Source organism: Homo sapiens, chromosome 16, assembly GCF_000001405.40.
Source record: "Homo sapiens chromosome 16, GRCh38.p14 Primary Assembly".
Taxonomy (NCBI): domain Eukaryota; kingdom Metazoa; phylum Chordata; class Mammalia; order Primates; family Hominidae; genus Homo; species Homo sapiens.
This window is the reverse complement of record NC_000016.10, coordinates 76,602,373-76,621,291: the sequence shown is the minus strand read 5'-3', so window position 1 is coordinate 76,621,291 and position 18,919 is coordinate 76,602,373.

The window sequence follows — 18,919 nt, the reverse complement described above, 5'->3', positions numbered from 1 at the left end:
AATGCTAGACCATCCTCATGAGTCTTGTGCAGGAAAATACTTTTAAATTACATACAATCTCTCTTAGTTGAACTCATCATGTTCTAAAGAACATGTAGCACTAGGCTTTGGTGATAGTTAGCGGTCCTGGGTCATTACTTCAGCATTCAAGCTATTGCTCCTGCTTTGATGCTGGAAGATTTTTATACATTTCTTTATTCATTTAATAAATATATTATGCTCCTCCTAAAGGCCAGATGCTATTCTAAAATCTGGGTAGAAAACACAAATTGAGCATGGTTTCTGCTTTCAAACCACATACAACTGGAAGCAAAGTTCAGAAAAAAATGTTTCATAGTATAAGTTAACACTGACATCCACTGGACTCTCAGCCTTTACAATGGGGAGAGAGGATTGTGTTGTAGTTTTAGTTAAGAAAGAAACAAGCTAATGGTAAATAAAGCATAGCTTCAATATATTTACATATGTTAAGAAGGAAATGCAAGACTCCAGATATCTACTTTTGGATTTATTTGTCACAAAATGTCACCACCCTAATGTCAGAAAATAGAAAATATACTTTCTAGGTGCTTAATTTGATTATTTTCTAGCCATATTGAATAATGTCTATATATTCAACTATAAATAGCTTTTTGAACAATTCTAGTGAGATCTTTAGTTAAGGCAATAAGACAGGGTTTCTTCCTTCTAGCATATGTTTGACTGAAGCCCTAGTTGATCACTGTATTTTCTTTTTGAGTGGATACTACACAATTTAGAATTTCATAGACTTATTTTTATATGCTGCTTATGTTGGTATGTCACGTGAGCTTAGGGAAAAATTAGTTTGTTGCATAAAATAATGTATTTAAATTGTTTGAAGGATTTCTTAATAAATAAAGATGGTGTTTTAAATATTCATACCATTCCACAATGGAGTCAATGTTTTATAAAGGGTGTAATTTTTTGAAAAGTAAGTAAACATATTACAAAATATTGTTCTCAGTACATTAAATATCAACGTTCAAGAGAATTTTTAAATGTGCTCCAGAGAGATAATTACCACAAAAAACAACCCTGATTACTCCTTCTATTAGATTTTATTCATTTTTTAATTTCTTTATTTATTTTACAAATTTTCTTGTAGCATCTATTGTGGGTTAGGCATTACAAAGTGCCCTAGGAACTTAATTATGTGTTTAATAAATATTTATTGAATCAACATTAGGTAAGTGGGAGAACAAAACAGAACTTCATGTCTAGGCTTTTGCAGTCCACAGAGAAGTTGCCACCATGAATTGTCTTTCATCTGAGACCTGAAGGATGAGCCATGAAACAAAGTTCATTGGTGCTCTGGTTTATGATGGATGACTGGACCCTTCCCTGAGGTAACGGGTGATGCAAAGCACAGGGCAGGGCGTTTATTGCTGTCCTAGCACTGTGATTGCAAATGCTTTGCTTGTTGGTTGAGTGGTCTCTGTGCCATGTGCTATATCTCAGGTGACCTGAGGGGGTCTGGGTGATTAAGAAGTTACTTGGGAAGCCTTTAAGCCACTCCTTGGGAAAGTTCAACCTCTTAGCTGAATCTGGCAGCTAGGAAGTTGGTTCTGGAACTTCGAATGATGACTACTGGAGAGAGAGTTCACTCTGGCTTGGGTTATTTGTCTATCTGTTCAGTATCTCGTATCTCTTTCAATTAAGTCATTCTTATCAGCATTCCAATGCACTTTATCATTTCTAACTTGAAAACCAATCCACACCCCTCCAGGTACCACTGTATACTCCACTTCCCTCTGTTGGTAACTTTTTTTTTTTTTTTTTTGAGACGAAGTCTCGCTCTGCCGCCCAGGCTGGAGTGCAGTGACGCGATCTCCACTCACTGCAAGCTCCGCCTCCCGGGTTCAGGCCATTCTCCTGCCTCAGCGTCCCGAGTAGCTGGGACTACAGGCGCCCGCCACCACACCCGGCTAATTTTTTGTGTGTTTTTAGTAGAGACGGGGTTTCACCGTGTTAGCCAGGATGGTCTGGATCTCCTGACCTCGTGATCCGCCCACCTCGGCCTCCCAAAGTGCTGGGGTTACAGGCGTGAGCCACCGCGCCCGGCCCTCTGTTGGTAACTTTTTAAAGGAGTAGTCTACACATGGTATCTTCAGTTCTTCGTCATTCATGTCTCACTCCAATCTGGCTGCCAAACTCAGATACCCATTTTGTAGCATCCAATAGGCATTTTTCAGTCCTTATCTTACCATAGCCAACAGCATTTGATTCAGTTGTTACCCCCTTCCTCCTCATACTCTTCTGACTTTTACATCACCACCCTAACCACTGCTGCTCCTAAAACTGAAATTCTTCTGAGTCTGTCTCTCTTTCAAGGTTCTCTTTTCATATGGTCCCTAAAATATTGAATGTTTGTAAGGCTCAGTCTAGGATCTCCTCTTTTAACGCTCTATTTTCCTCCTAGGTGATAGCATTCATTCTCGTGGCTTTAAATACTACCCTTATATCAATAGCGTCAAACCTTACATTTCCAGTACTAATGAGCTTCAGGTCCATTTAGTCAAATGCCCAGTTAACAGATACGAAGATTTCAGGATAGCTCAGACTTCACATGCTCAGGAGGGGAACATTGATATTATTGATATTCTGATAGTAATCTTAATAAAAATAACTTCCACCCACCCAGTTGATAAAGAAATGTCCGTCTGTACAGTTTTCCCACTCTCACCTCCCACACTCTAGTAATTAGAAAAACCTTGTAGTTTACATAAAAATATTTTCTAATCTCTCAGTTACCTCTGCCCGAAGGCCACCTTCCAAGCTGTCCCAGCCTCTTACACCTGTTCTTGACAGCTATGCTGTGACTCATTGCAGTCCCTTTTCCACACATCACACAGGTCAAAATTTAATATGTGAACCAGGTGTATCATTTAGTTACTTCAGCCCCATTATGAACATCCTCATCCATCAAGGGCTATATCTTTCCTGTATATTCACACAAAGCAGTACTACAGAGGAATGAAGGGTGATCAATTAACATCAGGTGCAACAACATGGGTATATCTCAGAAATGTAATGTTGAGTGAAACAAGCCAAACATAAAACAGCTCTTACCTTATAATTTTATTCATATAATGCTAATAAAAGAAGTCAAAATGATCAATGCTGGTAGAAGTTAGCATTGGAGGCCGGGTGCGACGGCTCACGCCTGTAATCCCAGCACTTTGGGAGGCCGAGGTGGGCGTATCACAAGGTCAGGAGATCAAGACCATCCTGGATAACATGGTGAAACCCCGTCCCTACTAAAAAATACAAAAAATTAGCCGGATATGGTGGTGGGCACCTGTAGTCCCAGCTACTTGGGAGGCTGAGGCAGGAGAATGGCGTGAACCCGAGAGGCGCAGCTTGCAGTGAGCCGAGATTGTGCCACTGCACTCCAGCCTGGGCCACAGAGCAAGACTCCATTGCAAAAAAAAAGAAAAAAAGAAAAAAAAAAGAAGTTAGCATTGGAGTTACAAATGGATACATAATAACTACAAAGAATTGAACTGGTAATGTTCTGCAGCAGCTCCCTGGATATCTTCACTTTGTGAAAATTCATTGAACTGTATAGTTAAGGTTTGTGCCTTTTCCTTTATACAGGTTATGCCTCAATAGGAAGCTTACTTTAAAACTCAAAGAGTGTTTGGGTCTTTCACTTCTGTTATTGTTACTAACCGCTCTGTGTACATTAAAACTAAGAAATAGAAATGGTAGCATTTTCTGCTGGGTAATTATTGTGTATTTAGAAAAATGCCTAATTATATATTCAACTAACACACAAGAATGATTTCGAAAGCTTTGGCTAATATGAAAACTATGTGTTCCGAATAAATAATATCCTGTTGTCAGAAAAGTAAATAGCCAGGCCTATGATTAAATAATGTTAATACAACTATGGTAAAGAAAATAAATTAAAAACATAAACAAAGTCTAGAAATACAATATTAAAAGTGCCATTCTGGTTATTACATTGATAGGAACAATAATACTATTCTGTTTCAATGGGAAAAGCAACACAGAGGAGCTCTGAGAATCTATGTTTTACAAATCAAATTTACAATATGAAAGCTGTTCTTGGAACTGTGAGGTTTCTTAGTAATCACTTAAGGTTGAAATTTTTATTTTACATATCTAGATATAAAAGAACTGTGACACTGAATTCAGTTTTAGGACATTGGAGTTACTTGTATACAAATTTCTTATTTTTTAATTTCATGGTCATTTTTGAGACATACAATAATATGCATTTGTGGGTCAAAATTATCAAAGCCAGTAAACAAGACATATTCTGTTTGTAAAAACAAACAATAATAAATTGGTTTTGAATTTGCAAGACAATATTATTGTATTGACTTTCAGAACAAATTCTATCCCTTGAAACTTCTCAATCAATCATACAATATGAGGTGAAATATAAAATAGAAATAACCATTCAAACGTGATGTAAATTATAGCATCAATTATTTTTCTTCGGTTTGAGAGTTATGTTTATCTGGACTGAAGAATGAAGACTAATCTGAACTGAAACACTAAAGACTATCATTTGGAAGTACGATGTGAAAACTATTAATATGATTAAGCAGTTCAATTAAAACATAAATTATTCACTACGCTTGAAAACTCAGCTTTACTAAATCATTAAAAGTTCTATACATTAAAGTTAAAATTACAAATACATGTATTATCTGGTTTATGATGGATGACTGGACTCTTCCCTGAGGTAACAGAAAATATATATTTTCTGTTTTATCATCCTTATTATTTGAATGAAAGATGTTAAAGTTATACACTAATGTGGCTTTCCTCTTGTTTCTCTTCTGTTATTTTTCATAAACTTTTATGACAACTTTAGCAGCAAATCAGAATTTTTACTGATTCTCTACAGACTTAGGCAATCAAGCATATTCCTAAGATATATTTGCATACAATTTTTAGTAGGTAAGATTTTGTAATGTTTTAATGTTTCCAATGGGGGAAAAGTCTCCAAAACAAATAGGAGTTTCATTACCAGTCTAAAGACAACTTCATTTTCCTATTTTCAAACGATTAAGTCCATTTTGCAGCAGCTGATAAACATCAGCCTGAATGAGATCTTCTTTGTGAGCATGGGGGCTTGGGTAGAGAGCTGGGCAGATGGATGTTTCAGTCAGTCATGAGCATGGAGCACGACCCCTTCAAATTCCATTTCACGACTCACTTCATGTTCAGAGCTGAATTTGCATGAAAATCAAATTCATAAATTCAGCCACGGCTTTGATCAGAAATTTTTCGGTTGTTATCATTCTTTTTGAATTGTTGTAAAAGTCATGGCAGATGGTATGTTTCTGAAATGTCTACTGATGCTCATCTTCCTTCTCTCAACACAGCACAGTACTAGAAAATCGTTAGCACCTTCCTAGGACAAGGCCTTCTTAGAACCTGAATGATCCTTAGATAACACCTTCATTTCATAAATGAGGAAAGTAAAGTTACAATCTGAAACAGGACCTGTCTCTCTTCCTCCCAGCCCAGTGACCTTTCAGATACACCAGTGTGGTCTCCAAGAAAGTGTGCAGTAAAGCCTGGGAAACATTGTGAGTAATGAGAAACTTTGCTATAGAAATGATCAAGAGAAGATAAAGCAATTTACGTACACACACATACACACTCACACACACAGACACATATCTATGCAACTTATGTGTTATATATTTATATAGCATATTTATATTTACATCTACATATACTTCATAAAAATTATAAAAGGAAATAAATCAATTTACATACATTTTCAATTGCTTTATATTTCTTTTATGTATGATTAATGCATATTTATATATAGATCTCCCTATAAATTATATTTACAACAATTAGCTAAAATAACCTGTTATATGAGAGCACAGAGTTTGGAAAGCAGAAACATTTGAATGCCAGATCTGCCACCTAACACCTCTGTAGCTGTATGACCTTGGACATGGTATTTAAAATTTCAGAGACTCAGTGTTTGTTGTTGCTTTTAATATATACGGGGCTGGACTGTGGACTAGATAAGTTAATGTTTATAAATGTTTACCATTTATCATGCCTGATGCATGGCAGTTAAGATGCTTATTTTCCAAGTTTCAAAAAAATTTCCCATGCATGCGAGCAAGTACAATAACCCATATCATTTGCCAGGAAATAGGCCAATTGCTTTTTTTTTTTCTTTTTTTGGCATAGGATCACATTTATCATGTAAAGTTGGTATGACTGACATCATGGTTACAGATAAGGACATAAATCCTTAGAGGGGTGAAATGGCCTGCCCAACGTATACTGAAAGTAACTGGTATAGCTCTTATCTACGTCACTAAGATGTAAATGGAAAAGTAATTTCAATTTAAGCCACACAAAAAGCTCTAATTCAAGGACTGCAAGTGTGTTTGCCTCAGTAATCCATTTTCCAAAATTAACCTCATTCTTACAATTTCCACTTTCCTGAAATATTAAAATACTTTAAGTTTCTACTCTGATATTTATTGCTCAGATGAATATAATATAGTCATGAGATTACACAAAGACCTTCAGATCTCTTTTTGCCTGACATAACCTATAGACAGGTTCTTAAACAATGATCAGCATTGCAATAAACAGAAATTAGATACCTATAAGTTGGAACTTTAATCACACACTATACTGTGATCTGAAATCTCCATAATCATTAATACATTTCTAGGCCAGGACCCAAGACTCTATTTAGTACTATAATTTAGAAAGCATCTCTTCTGCATTTAACATATAGGCAACATGCCAAGAAAGGAAACAAAAATGGTCTTGATTTGTTTGCCAGCTGGCACTTTGGGCTGAATGGCCAGCTACCAAAGAACTGCCATTTGTCACAAAGGAAAACAAAATGAATTCCTTGCTAAGTGTACATACTTCTTACTGTTGAAAAATTATCCTAAGAATAAACTAATTGCCTCTGTAAAACACAAGTTCATCTCACCCAGCATCCATCTGGAAACTCTGAGAGAGACAAATATAAAATTGCTGGCAGTAGGGATTTTGGATTTAATACAACTATTGATATATGGCAATTAATAACCTTTTTCTGTTGAAATTGTTTCAGTAGAGTTAGTACCCCATTTTTACTGTAAGTAATTTTCTTTTATGAATGCTGTTAATTAAATAGGGAAATTATATGGCTGTGTTATATGTATGTATATAACAAAATCCTGTGTGTGTGTATATATATAATTTAATTGGCACCTGAAGTACCTATATATTGTAAAATTACTTAAAACCCACAATAGTCTCCTTCATACAATTATAATAAATAATTCCTGGTCATTTTAATTAAATTATTTACAAGCATCAGAGATATTTAGAAACACATGAGGCTTGCTTTTGAAAATAGGATTTGAGATTGAATTCATGCAGGTAAAACACTAAAATTTAGTCATATCCATAGGCAAAACAAAAAATGTAAAATGTTGAGCAGTTATTTTCTGGCTACCACTAGTTAACCAGTTGTCATTTCAAGTATTTAGCTCAGGTTTTTCTCTGGAAGATGTGTCAATTTGGAATTTCTTATCTCTTCCGACTCTCCACATCATTCAACTTGAAGTTTGAAAAGGAGCACTGACATAGAAGATTCCACACAAGTAGATATTTTAAAATGGGTAAAATCTTACGAGACGGCTTTAATAATTGTCTAGTGCATTAGGAACTATATACTAGGATATGGTGCAGTAGCATCCATTACACGGAAACCTTGCATCTTAACATTCCCAACTGCCTTCTTTACAATGTTCACTTAACTCTTAAGTAATCACACTTGAGTTGTAAAGAGATCCAGGTCCAAAAATTCCACTTCATGATCATTCTATTCATAAATTATATGGGCCAGAGTGAGGGGAGAAGAGCAATTTGGGCAAATTTTTAATAAAAAAAAAATAGGCTAGGCACAGTGGCTCACACCTGTAATCCCAGCACTTTGGGAGGCCGAGGCGGGCGGATCACCTGAGGTCAGGAGCTCAAGACTAGCCTGGCCAACATGGTGAAACCATGTTTGTACTAAAAATACAAAAATTAGCTGGGCATGGTGGCACACGCCTGTAGTCCCAGCTACTCGGGAGGCTGAAGCGGGAGAATCGCTTGAACCCAGGAGGCAGAGGTTGCGTGAGCCGAGATCGTGCCACTGCACTCCAGCCTGAGCCAGAGTGAGACTCTATCTCAAAAAAAAAGATAGAATTTTGAAATTTCTAATGAAAAATACAAACACTTGTATAGTTAGGCAAATTTTTATATTTAAATTTCTTTACAGTTGCTTATTACTTAATTATCTTTACATTGTAAGAACCTGTTTGGAATCAGGAATCAATCAGTGGTTCATTAAACTTCTATTTTATTCAAGGAATACTTTCCTACTATTAAGCTGTGTCATTTGGATAAGCATAATGTTAGTGGATATGTTATTAACACTGATTATAACTAAATCTGACAAGCTATGCTGACCTGGAGAAATAAAATCAGAAAACTCCCATTTGATTCATTCCAAAGGAATTGAAACCCTAATTTGAAGAAATGCTCCATTTGCATCTACATGCAACTTTATGATTTATGACATGAGAGTTTTCAGCTAAGATAGGAAGTTGACTCTCTAGGAGCTATTATCTGGTGGAAATGCAATTTCCTAAACTATTTAGATGAACCGGGTTGTGCATTATCTTTCACACTGGTATCTCCTCACTGCCTTCATTTCAATAACTGCTGCTGCTATTCTCTGCCTACTGAGGGGAGAAGAAGATAAAAAAATGTTATTCCATGAGAATGTAAAATATCTCATCTTTATTATATTTAGATAAAAAATCTGCTTGAAGAAGAATAATTTTATATATATAATAATTCTATTCCTGAATTATCTTTTATTTGTTGCAATATAGAAAGGTGTGAATACCACATTTTACTGTGTTCACTTGTATTAGTGACATTCCTATACATGATAATTCAAAGAAACAAAAAAAAATAGGATTTTGAAAGTTGTGTAGTAAGGGCCAAATGTCATAAACGTTTATGAATGTTCACAATAATCACTTTTTGTATTGATGAGCTTCCTCAAGCTGTTAAGTGCTAGTATTTTTGAGAATTCTCATGATTAGCAAACTACTACATTATAATTTTGTGAGTTTTTTAAATGTTTTCTGTCTTGTCACTTTGAGAGACTTTATTTTCCTGTTATATTGGGATTGCAACCAAAGGAATTAGTAAACTAGTGTGTTCAACATGAAAACTTTGGAAATATCCTTTTAAATTACTCTTTCTAATAAACATTAAAATGTATTGATTAATTTTTTTATTTCTAAGTTCTTGTTAAGACTGGAAAATGAAAAATCACTTACATTGTAAAACTCTATCTTAGCTGAAAACTCTCCCTGTCATAAATCATAAAGCTGCTATAGATGGAAATGGAGCATTTCTTCAAATTAGGATTTCAATTCCCTTCACATTATAGCACTTGCAGATGAATGACCTTCAAAGATAGTTCTTTTAAAGAATTTCCAAATGTGGCAGACAGTGCACAAAGAGATGCTATGTGGAGATATTCTATAAGAATGTGTCAGCCAGCTGAGTGCTTACGATCACTGAGTCTCAAGGTTAGAAGGGAACTTAAAACTCCCTTGTAAGTTGGATTCCTAAGTATTTTATTCTCTTTGAAGCAATTGTGAATGGGAGTTCACTCATGATTTGGCTCTCTGTTTGTCTGTTGTTGGTGTATAAGAATGCTTGTGATTTTTGTACATTGATTTTGTATCCTGAGACTTTGCTGAAGTTGCTTATCAGCTTAAGGAGATTTTGGGCTGAGACAATGGGGTTTTCTAGATATACAATCATGTCGTCTGCAAACAGGGACACTTTGACTTCCTCTTTTCCTAATTGAATACCCTTTATTTCCTTCTCCTGCCTAATTGCCCTGGCCAGAACTTCCAACACTATGTTGAATAGGAGTGCTGAGAGAGGGCATCCCTGTCTTGTGCCAGTTTTCAAAGGGAATGCTTCCAGTTTTTGCCCATTCAATATGATATTGGCTGTGGGTTTGTCATAGATAGCTCTTATTATTTTGAGATACGTCCCAACAATACCTAATTTATTGAGAGTTTTTAGCATGAAGGGTTGTTGAATTTTGTCAAAGGCCTTTTCTGCATCTATTGAGATAATCATGTGGTTTTTGTCTTTGGTTCTGTTTATATGCTGGATTACATTTATTGATTTGCGTATATTGAACCAGCCTTGCATCCCAGGGATGAAGCCCACTTGATCATGGTGGATAAGCTTTTTGATGTGCTGCTGGATTCGGTTTGCCAGTATTTTATTGAGGATTTTTGCATCAATGTTCATCAAGGATATTGGTCTAAAATTCTCTTTTTTGGTTGTGTCTCTGCCCGGCTTTGGTATCAGGATGATGCTGGCCTCATAAAATGAGTTAGGGAGGATTCCCTCTTTTTCTATTGATTGGAATAGTTTCAGAAGGAATGGTACCAGTTCCTCCTTGTACCTCTGGTAGAATTCGGCTGTGAATCCATCTGGTCCTGGACTCTTTTTGGTTGGTAAGCTATTGATTATTGCCACAATTTCAGCTCCTGTTATTGGTCTATTCAGAGATTCAACTTCTTCCTGGTTTAGTCTTGGGAGAGTGTATCTGTCGAGGAATTTATCCATTTCTTCCAGATTTTCTAGTTTATTTGCGTAGAGGTGTTTGTAGTATTCTCTGATGGTAGTTTGTATTTCTGTGGGATCGGTGGTGATATCCCCTTTATCATTTTTTATTGCATCTATTTGATTATTCTCTCTTTTTTTCTTTATTAGTCTTGCTAGTGGTCTATCAATTTTGTTGATCCTTTCAAAAAACCAGCTCCTGGATTCATTAATTTTTTGAAGGGCTTTTTGTGTCTCTATTTCCTTCAGTTCTGCTCTGATTTTAGTTATTTCTTGCCTTCTGCTAGCTTTTGAATGTGTTTGCTCTTGCTTTTCTAGTTCTTTTAATTGTGATGTTAGGGTGTCAATTTTGGATCTTTCCTGCTTTCTCTTGTGGGCATTTAGTGCTACAAATTTCCCTCTACACACTGCTTTGAATGCGTCCCAGAGATTCTGGTATGTTGTGTCTTTGTTCTCGTTGGTTTCAAAGAACATCTTCATTTCTGCCTTTATTTCGTTATGTACCCAGTAGTCTCTCAGGAGCAGGTTGTTCAGTTTCCATGTAGTTGAGCGGTTTTGAGTGAGATTCTTAATCCTGAGTTCTAGTTTGATTGCACTGTGGTCTGAGAGATAGTTTGTTATAATTTCTGTTCTTTTACATTTGCTGAGGAGAGCTTTACTTCCAAGTATGTGGTCAATTTTGGAATAGGTGTGGTGTGGTGCTGAAAAAAATGTATATTCTGTTGATTTGGGGTGGAGAGTTCTGTAAGGACCTCTTCAAGGAGAACTACAAACCACTGCTCAAGGAAATAAAAGAGGATACAAACAAATGGAAGAACATTCCATGCTCATGGGTAGGAAGAATCAATATTGTGAAAATGGTCATACTGCCCAAGGTAATTTACAGATTCAATGCCATCCCCATCAAGCTACCAATGACTTTCTTCACAGAATTGGAAAAAACTACTTTAAAGTTCATATGGAACCAAAAAAGAGCCCGCATTGCCAAGTCAATCCTAAGCCAAAAGAACAAAGCTGGAGGCATCACACTACCTGACTTCAAACTATACTACAAGGCTACAGTAACCAAAACAGCATGGTACTGGTACCAAAACAGAGATATAGATCAATGCAACAGAACAGAGCCCTCAGAAATAACACCGCATATCTACAACTATCTGATCTTTGACAAACCTGAGAAAAACAAGCAATGGGGAAAGGATTCCCTATTTAATAAATGGTGCTGGGAAAACGGGCTAGCCATGTGTAGAAAGCTGAAACTGGATCCCTTCCTTACACCTTATGCAAAAATCAATTCAAGATGCATTAAAGACTTAAATGTTAGACCTAAAACCATAAAAACCCTAGAAGAAAACCTAGGCATTACCATTCAGGACATAGGCATGGGCGAGGACTTCATGTCTAAAACACCAAAAGCAATGGCAACAAAAGACAAAATTGACAAATGGGATCTAATTAAACTAAAGAGCTTCTGCACAGCAAAAGAAACTTCCATCAGAGTGAACAGGCAACCTACAAAATGGGAGAAAATTTTCACAACCTACTTGTCTGACAAAGGGCTAATATCCAGAATCTACAATGAACTCAAACAAATTTACAAGAAAAAAAACAAACAACCCCATCAAAAAGTGGGCAAAGGACATGAACAGACACTTCTCAAAAGAAGACCTTTATGCAGCCAAAAAACACATGAAAAAATGCTCACCATCACTGGCCATCAGAGAAATGCAAATCAAAACCACAAAGAGATACCATCTCACACCAGTTAGAATGGCAATCATGAAAAAGTCAGGAAACAACAGGTGCTGGAGAGGATGTGGAGAAATAGGAACAATTTTACACTGTTGGTGGGACTGTAAACTAGTTCAACCATTGTGGAAGTCGGTGTGGCGATTCCTCAGGGATCTAGAACTAGAAATACCATTTGACCCAGCCATCCCATTACTGGGTATATACCCAAAGGATTATAAGTCATGCTGCTATAAAGACACATGTACACGTATGTTTATTGCGGCACTATTCACAATAGCAAAGACTTGGAACCAACCCAAACGTCCAACAATGATAGACTGGATTAAGAAAATGTGGCACACATACACCATGGAGTACTATGCAGCCATAAAAAATGATGAGTTCATGTCCTTTGTAGAGACATGGATGAAATTGGAAATCATCATTCTCAGTAAACGATCGCAAGAACAAAAAACCAAACACCGCATATTCTCACTCATACGTGGGAATTGAACAATGAGAACACATGGACACAAGAAGGGGAACATCACACTCTGGGGACTGTTGTGGGGTTCGGGGAGTGGGGAGGGATAGCACTGGGAGATATACCTAATGCTAGATGACGAGTTAGTGGGTGCAGTGCACCAGCATGGCACATGTATACATACGTAACTAACCTGCACATTGTGCACATGTACCCTAAAACTTAAAGTAAAATAATAAATAAGTAAATAAATAAATAAATAAATAAAACTCACTTAGTTCAACCATGCATTCTGATGCTTGAAGTGTTTCTAGAGGGAAGCTCACTCTGGAGCTTGGCTACATGGGTTTTAATCCCAGCTCCTAGCTTTCAGCATGGGGCCAGTTACTTAACCTGCTAGAGCTTCATTTTCCTCATGTATAAAATGGGAATGACAATAATAGGACCTGTTGAAAACATTATTATAAGGATTCAATGATTTATTACATATAAAACATTTAGAATCATGTCTGGTTGGGTGAATCACCAGAGGTCAGGCGTTCAAGACCAGCCTGGCCAACATGGTGAAATCCCATCACTACTAAAAATACAAAAAATTAGCCAGCCATGGTGGCGGATCCCTGTAATCCCAGCTACTCAGGAGGCTGAAGCAGCAGAATCGCTTGAACCTGGGAGGCTGAGGTTGTAGTGAGCCGCGATCACACCACTGCACTCCAGCCTGGGCAACAAGAGCGAAACTCCATCTCAAAAAAAAAAAAAAAAAAAAAAAAAAAAATCATGCCTGATACCCACCCATCCCTCCTCCTTTCCCATACTGAGTACCTAGTCTTGCTTGGGTCATCTCAAAGAAATCTATTATGTTTGGTCAGCAAATATTATTGATGATGTCTTTCTGCCATTCAGTCCAGAGCTATCTGCTGACTGTTCTAGTTCCATCCCTTGGAATCAGGCAGAAGAAGAAGGCTTACTCTCAACATTCCTTGAGTTCTCTTTCAGCATGGGCTCCAAAATTAGACAGATTGGGTAGTGACTTGGTTATTGACTGAGGCTAGTAACCGAAATCATTTAATACCATATTTTTCCTTGGGCTAGAAAGAGAGACAGCGAGAGAGAAAGGGAGATTTAAAAGAGACAGAGAGAGGTGTTGTAATAGTGTCAACTTCTTAGAGTAGAATGTACTTATGTGCTTAGAATTTAATTAATGGTAATAATGGGAATGATGATGGCAAAGAAGATACTAATTCCCATTGTAGGTTAAATGTGCCCCAATCACCTTACACTTGTCAAACTGTTTGCTCAGAGCTTTATTGCATATCCCTGACTACCACAGATTTTACATGACTGCAAAGTTACTCTCATGGCTATACTCCTCAAACAGTTTTGTTGTGTATAAGTTCTGATTCTGTAGTTCTGACAAAACAAAATCTTGATAATATGCTTCACCTATTTTATTGACAAAAGATGTCTTTGAGAGTTTGAGTATCTTATCAAGATCAATCATTTCCCCTAATATAGAAACATTGCAGTCACTTACCTGCAAATTTTGGACAGACACCTTGATATTATCTTGTTGCAATTACTTATTAGTTCTCATGTTATATTCCTGCACTGCACTTAATTTTCATATTGAAAATAGACATCCTCCTGCTCAAATTTCCTTAAATGAAACCATATTGCTCTTCATTTCAGGAAATATTTTTTTCATGTTTCAGGTACTGTTTTTCCCTGAATTGTTTGTGTTTTCTAAGCAATACCAAGAATGTTGATAAAACAAAAGATCACATCATCTCCCACTGAAAGAATGATGATGGCCTTATCACTATGGTTTTGCTTTCACCATTCATCGCTTCTAATCTACAAACAACTGCCAGTCATCTTTCTACAGCATAAATTTGTCCTTCATTGATTAAAATCTTCTATTGCACAACATCACCTACAGAATGAGGTGCCTTTTCAAGGCATACAAAGCCCTCTATTACTGCATTAATTTCTTCACCAAATTCATTTCCTTTATTTAAGTTTCTTGCATTGTGTCTCATCTATACCACTACATGGAATTTACCAATTGATTCAGGCTGCTTTGTAGCTTCCCGATATAGTACCTGATGTTCTGGATGCATAGAAACACTGCCTACCCTCACATTAACCACACAACTTACACACACACACACACACACACACACACACACACACACACACACACACACACACCATGCTTACCTTGAAAATTCTTCCTTGTTCTTTGATTACCATCTCAAATATTTTCTTTGAAGTGTTTCCTAGTTTCCTGTTTTTTGGTGTCAGGATGTTAGACTAATTTGTATCGTTTTTTGGAGACAGGATGTTAATTTGTCTAGCTTTTTATGACTTGTATATATGAGTTTACCATAACATAATTTAATTTAAATTGTAGAATAGACTTTATTATTTGAATGTACTTTTTTCTATCTATCTATTTTGCTTTCTGTACCTGTGTTTTTTTAAAGTGACTAGAATTTGTTCCTCCAAATGTAAATGATTATTCATTTTGGATGGTGAGATTTGGGGAAATGCCTTTTTTCTACACGTGCACTTTTTTCTTTTATTTTTTTTTAACTTTTAAGTTCAGGGTTACATGTGCAGGTTTGTTACATGGGTAAATTTGTGTCATGGGGGTTTGTCGTACAGATTATTTCACTTAGGTATGTATTAAACGTATTACCCATTGGTTATTTTTCCTGATACTCTCCCTCTTCCTACCCTCCGAAAGGCCCCAGTGTGTATTGTTCCCCTGTACTTGTCCATGTATTCTCATCATTTAGCTCCCACTTATAAGTGAAAATATGAGGTATTTGGTTTTCTGTCCTTATGCTAGTTTGCTAAGGATAATGGCCTCCAAATCCATCCATGTCTCTGCAAAGGATATGATCCTGTTCTTTTTATGGCTGCATAGTATTCCATGATGTATATGTACCACATTTTCTTTATCTAGCTTATCACTGATGGGCATTTAGGTTTATTCCATGTCTTTGCTATTGTGAATAGTGCTTCAATGAACATACATGTACAGGTGTCTTTACATTACATTAATTTATGTTCCTTTGGGTATATATTGCTGGGTCGAGTGGTGTTTCTGTCTTTAGATCTTTGAAGAATTGCCACACAGTTTTCCACAATGGCTGAACTAATTTATTCTTCCACCAACAGTGTATGAGAGTTCCTTTTTGTCCACAACTTTGCCAGAATCTCATATTTTTTTTTTTTACTTTTTTCATTGCTTGAATTGTATGCATTTATCATGAAAATAATAGTGGGAATCTTTTACATGGAAAGATTTTTTCAGATTTTTCTCACTGCTTTGAAAATAGATGTTTAAAAATCAACAGTAAGGTGAAATACAATTAATCTAATTACATATCAAATTCTAAAGACTGTAAGATTGAAATTAAGCAATTTTATATAATTTTTAGAATCCATATAATCATTTGGCATAGATTATAGAAACCCAGATGGCATTAAAAAGAAGAGGAATTTTCCACATTTTTTTGGTGCCATTATGATCTTTCTACCATAAAATTTTGACTCAAGAAATAAAAATATTTATTATGTAGTGAAATAATTTATACAATATATAATTGTGAAGATATTATGGAAATTGCTGGGTAGTCAAATGTAAAAGGAATTGCTGTGTTTGCATGTCTGATAAAAACATGCCATACAAGTTTTGGCATTCTTTATGCTTTTCCATAGGCAAAAACAATTATGATAATCCTTTTTAGAGGTTCTTACAGTAAAAAATACATTTTATAAAATAAAATAAATTAACTGAACTCTACAGGCAGAGAACGTTTGAGTGATGCTGACTGGCTCTGCTCTGGCTGTCTTTTAAAACACAGGAAAGAGGTAACATTTCAGCTTTTAATAGCTGGTTAACATTTGGCTCATTTGAGTTTGCAGACAAATAATATCAGCTTCATCTCATCTAACTACATCTGACTTCAGGCAAGGACAAGAGGATCAATTCTCTCTATGATGGTAGAATGCTAAATCAGCTGCTCAAAACTGGTTTTCCAAGATATTAAACCATAAATATCATCTCGCTTGCAGATGAGCTTCCATTTCAAGCCCCTTCAGTAATGCTTTCCTGTCCTTTCTTTACTTCTTTCCTTAAGGACTGGAAAACTTCCTAAGTATCTGCTCACCCCACATACCACAGAATTTAAAAACTGGGTTTTACCTTTACATTCAATAAATAATCAGCCAAACCAAAAGACATAAGTAAAGCCAGAAACAAACAAAGCTTCAAATATTCAACTATTCATATGAAAACATTTCTATGAGTCTGATTTACCCTGGTAATTCCTTCCTTTTTTTACTTAATCATACATGTGTAAATACAATTAAGATTTCTCTGATAACCACAGGTGATAGATTAAAAGCAAAAATAAAATAGGAACCTAATAAACGTTTAGTTCTCTAAGTAATCTACTTGGAAAATTTAAGTACTTTTCTTAAATGTCTAAAACATATATATATATACATATATATACATATATATACACACACATATATATATACACATATATATACATACACACACACACACACACACACACACACACACATATACATTCAGTGCCACAGGTAGTAAACCATTAGTCTCTTAGGAGTCTCAAATCATCGAGTTTAAGTTACTTCCTAACTATAAATCCTTGGGAACAATATATATTCACTCTATAACTGAGTTTTCCCACATTTAATTTGGGCATATGGCACCTGTCTCATTGTAATAGTGAGTAGTAAATAAGATGATGAATTTTGATTTCTAAGCAAAGCACCTGAAAATAAGAGTGTGACGTAAGTGATAATAATTCTTTCCGAATATGTTATATATAAGCATTCTTTTTTAAAGTGCTAGGTTCTTTCACGTCTAAACCTGAACTCTAGAGAAGGCTGAAAGCTCATTAGGATATTGAAGCACTAATTCCTACAGCTCAGAGTTCAAGTACCTAAGTCAACCGCTTTGATTGCTGATTGAGCTGAGTCTCTACAGTAAGTTTTAGGTAACTTCCAGAATTCCTAAGTTTAAATCGATTTTATGTAGGCTTAAGAAAAAGCATGATGGTATTTATATGTGGAATGTAAAAAAGCCAAACCCAAAGGAATGGAGAAGAGTGGCTACCAGGGGATGGGGAGGGGGTGGTGGGCGGGGGAAAATGGAGAGATGTTGGTCAAAGGGTACAAACTTTCAGTAATAAGATGAGTAAGTTCTGGAGATCTAATGTACAGCATGATGACTACAGTTAATAATGATGTATTTTATTCCTGAATGATGTATCTTATACAACTCAAATGTTTTCACTACAAAAACATAAAATGGCAACCATGTGAAGGATGGATACACTCATTAGTGATTGTGGTATTGATTGTGGTAATCATTTCACAACGTGTATGTACATCAAAGCATCACATTGTGGCCAGGCATAGTGGCTCACACCTGTAATCCCAGCACTTTGGGAACCCAAGGCAGGAAGATTGCTTAAAGCCAGGAGTTGGAGGCCAGCGTGGGCAAAAAAGCAAGATCCGATCTCTACAAAACATAAAAAAAAAATTTCACTGGACATGGTGGTGCACACCTGTAGTCCCAGCTACTCAGGACTCAGGAGGCTGTGGTGGGAGGATCGCTTGAGCACAGGAGGTTGAGGCTGCAGGGAGCCACAATCATACCACTGCACTCCAACCTAGGGAACAAAGCAAGACCTTGTGTCAAAAAAAAAAAAAATGTATACCTTAGATACATACAAATTTTAGTTCTCAATCATAGCTCAATAAAACTGAAGGGAAAAGTGAAATACTGTGATGAAAGAAAAAAGCAGCATTTTCCATGTTCCCTTTGGATGTTAAAGAGTAAACAAGAGTTGATGCCTTTTACACGGAGGAAAACATCACAACTGTGGCACAAGATATCTGGGCCACGATGAACTCCCTCCCAAGGATTACCTGTGCCTCCAAAGGTGGCTTATGGTGGTTGCC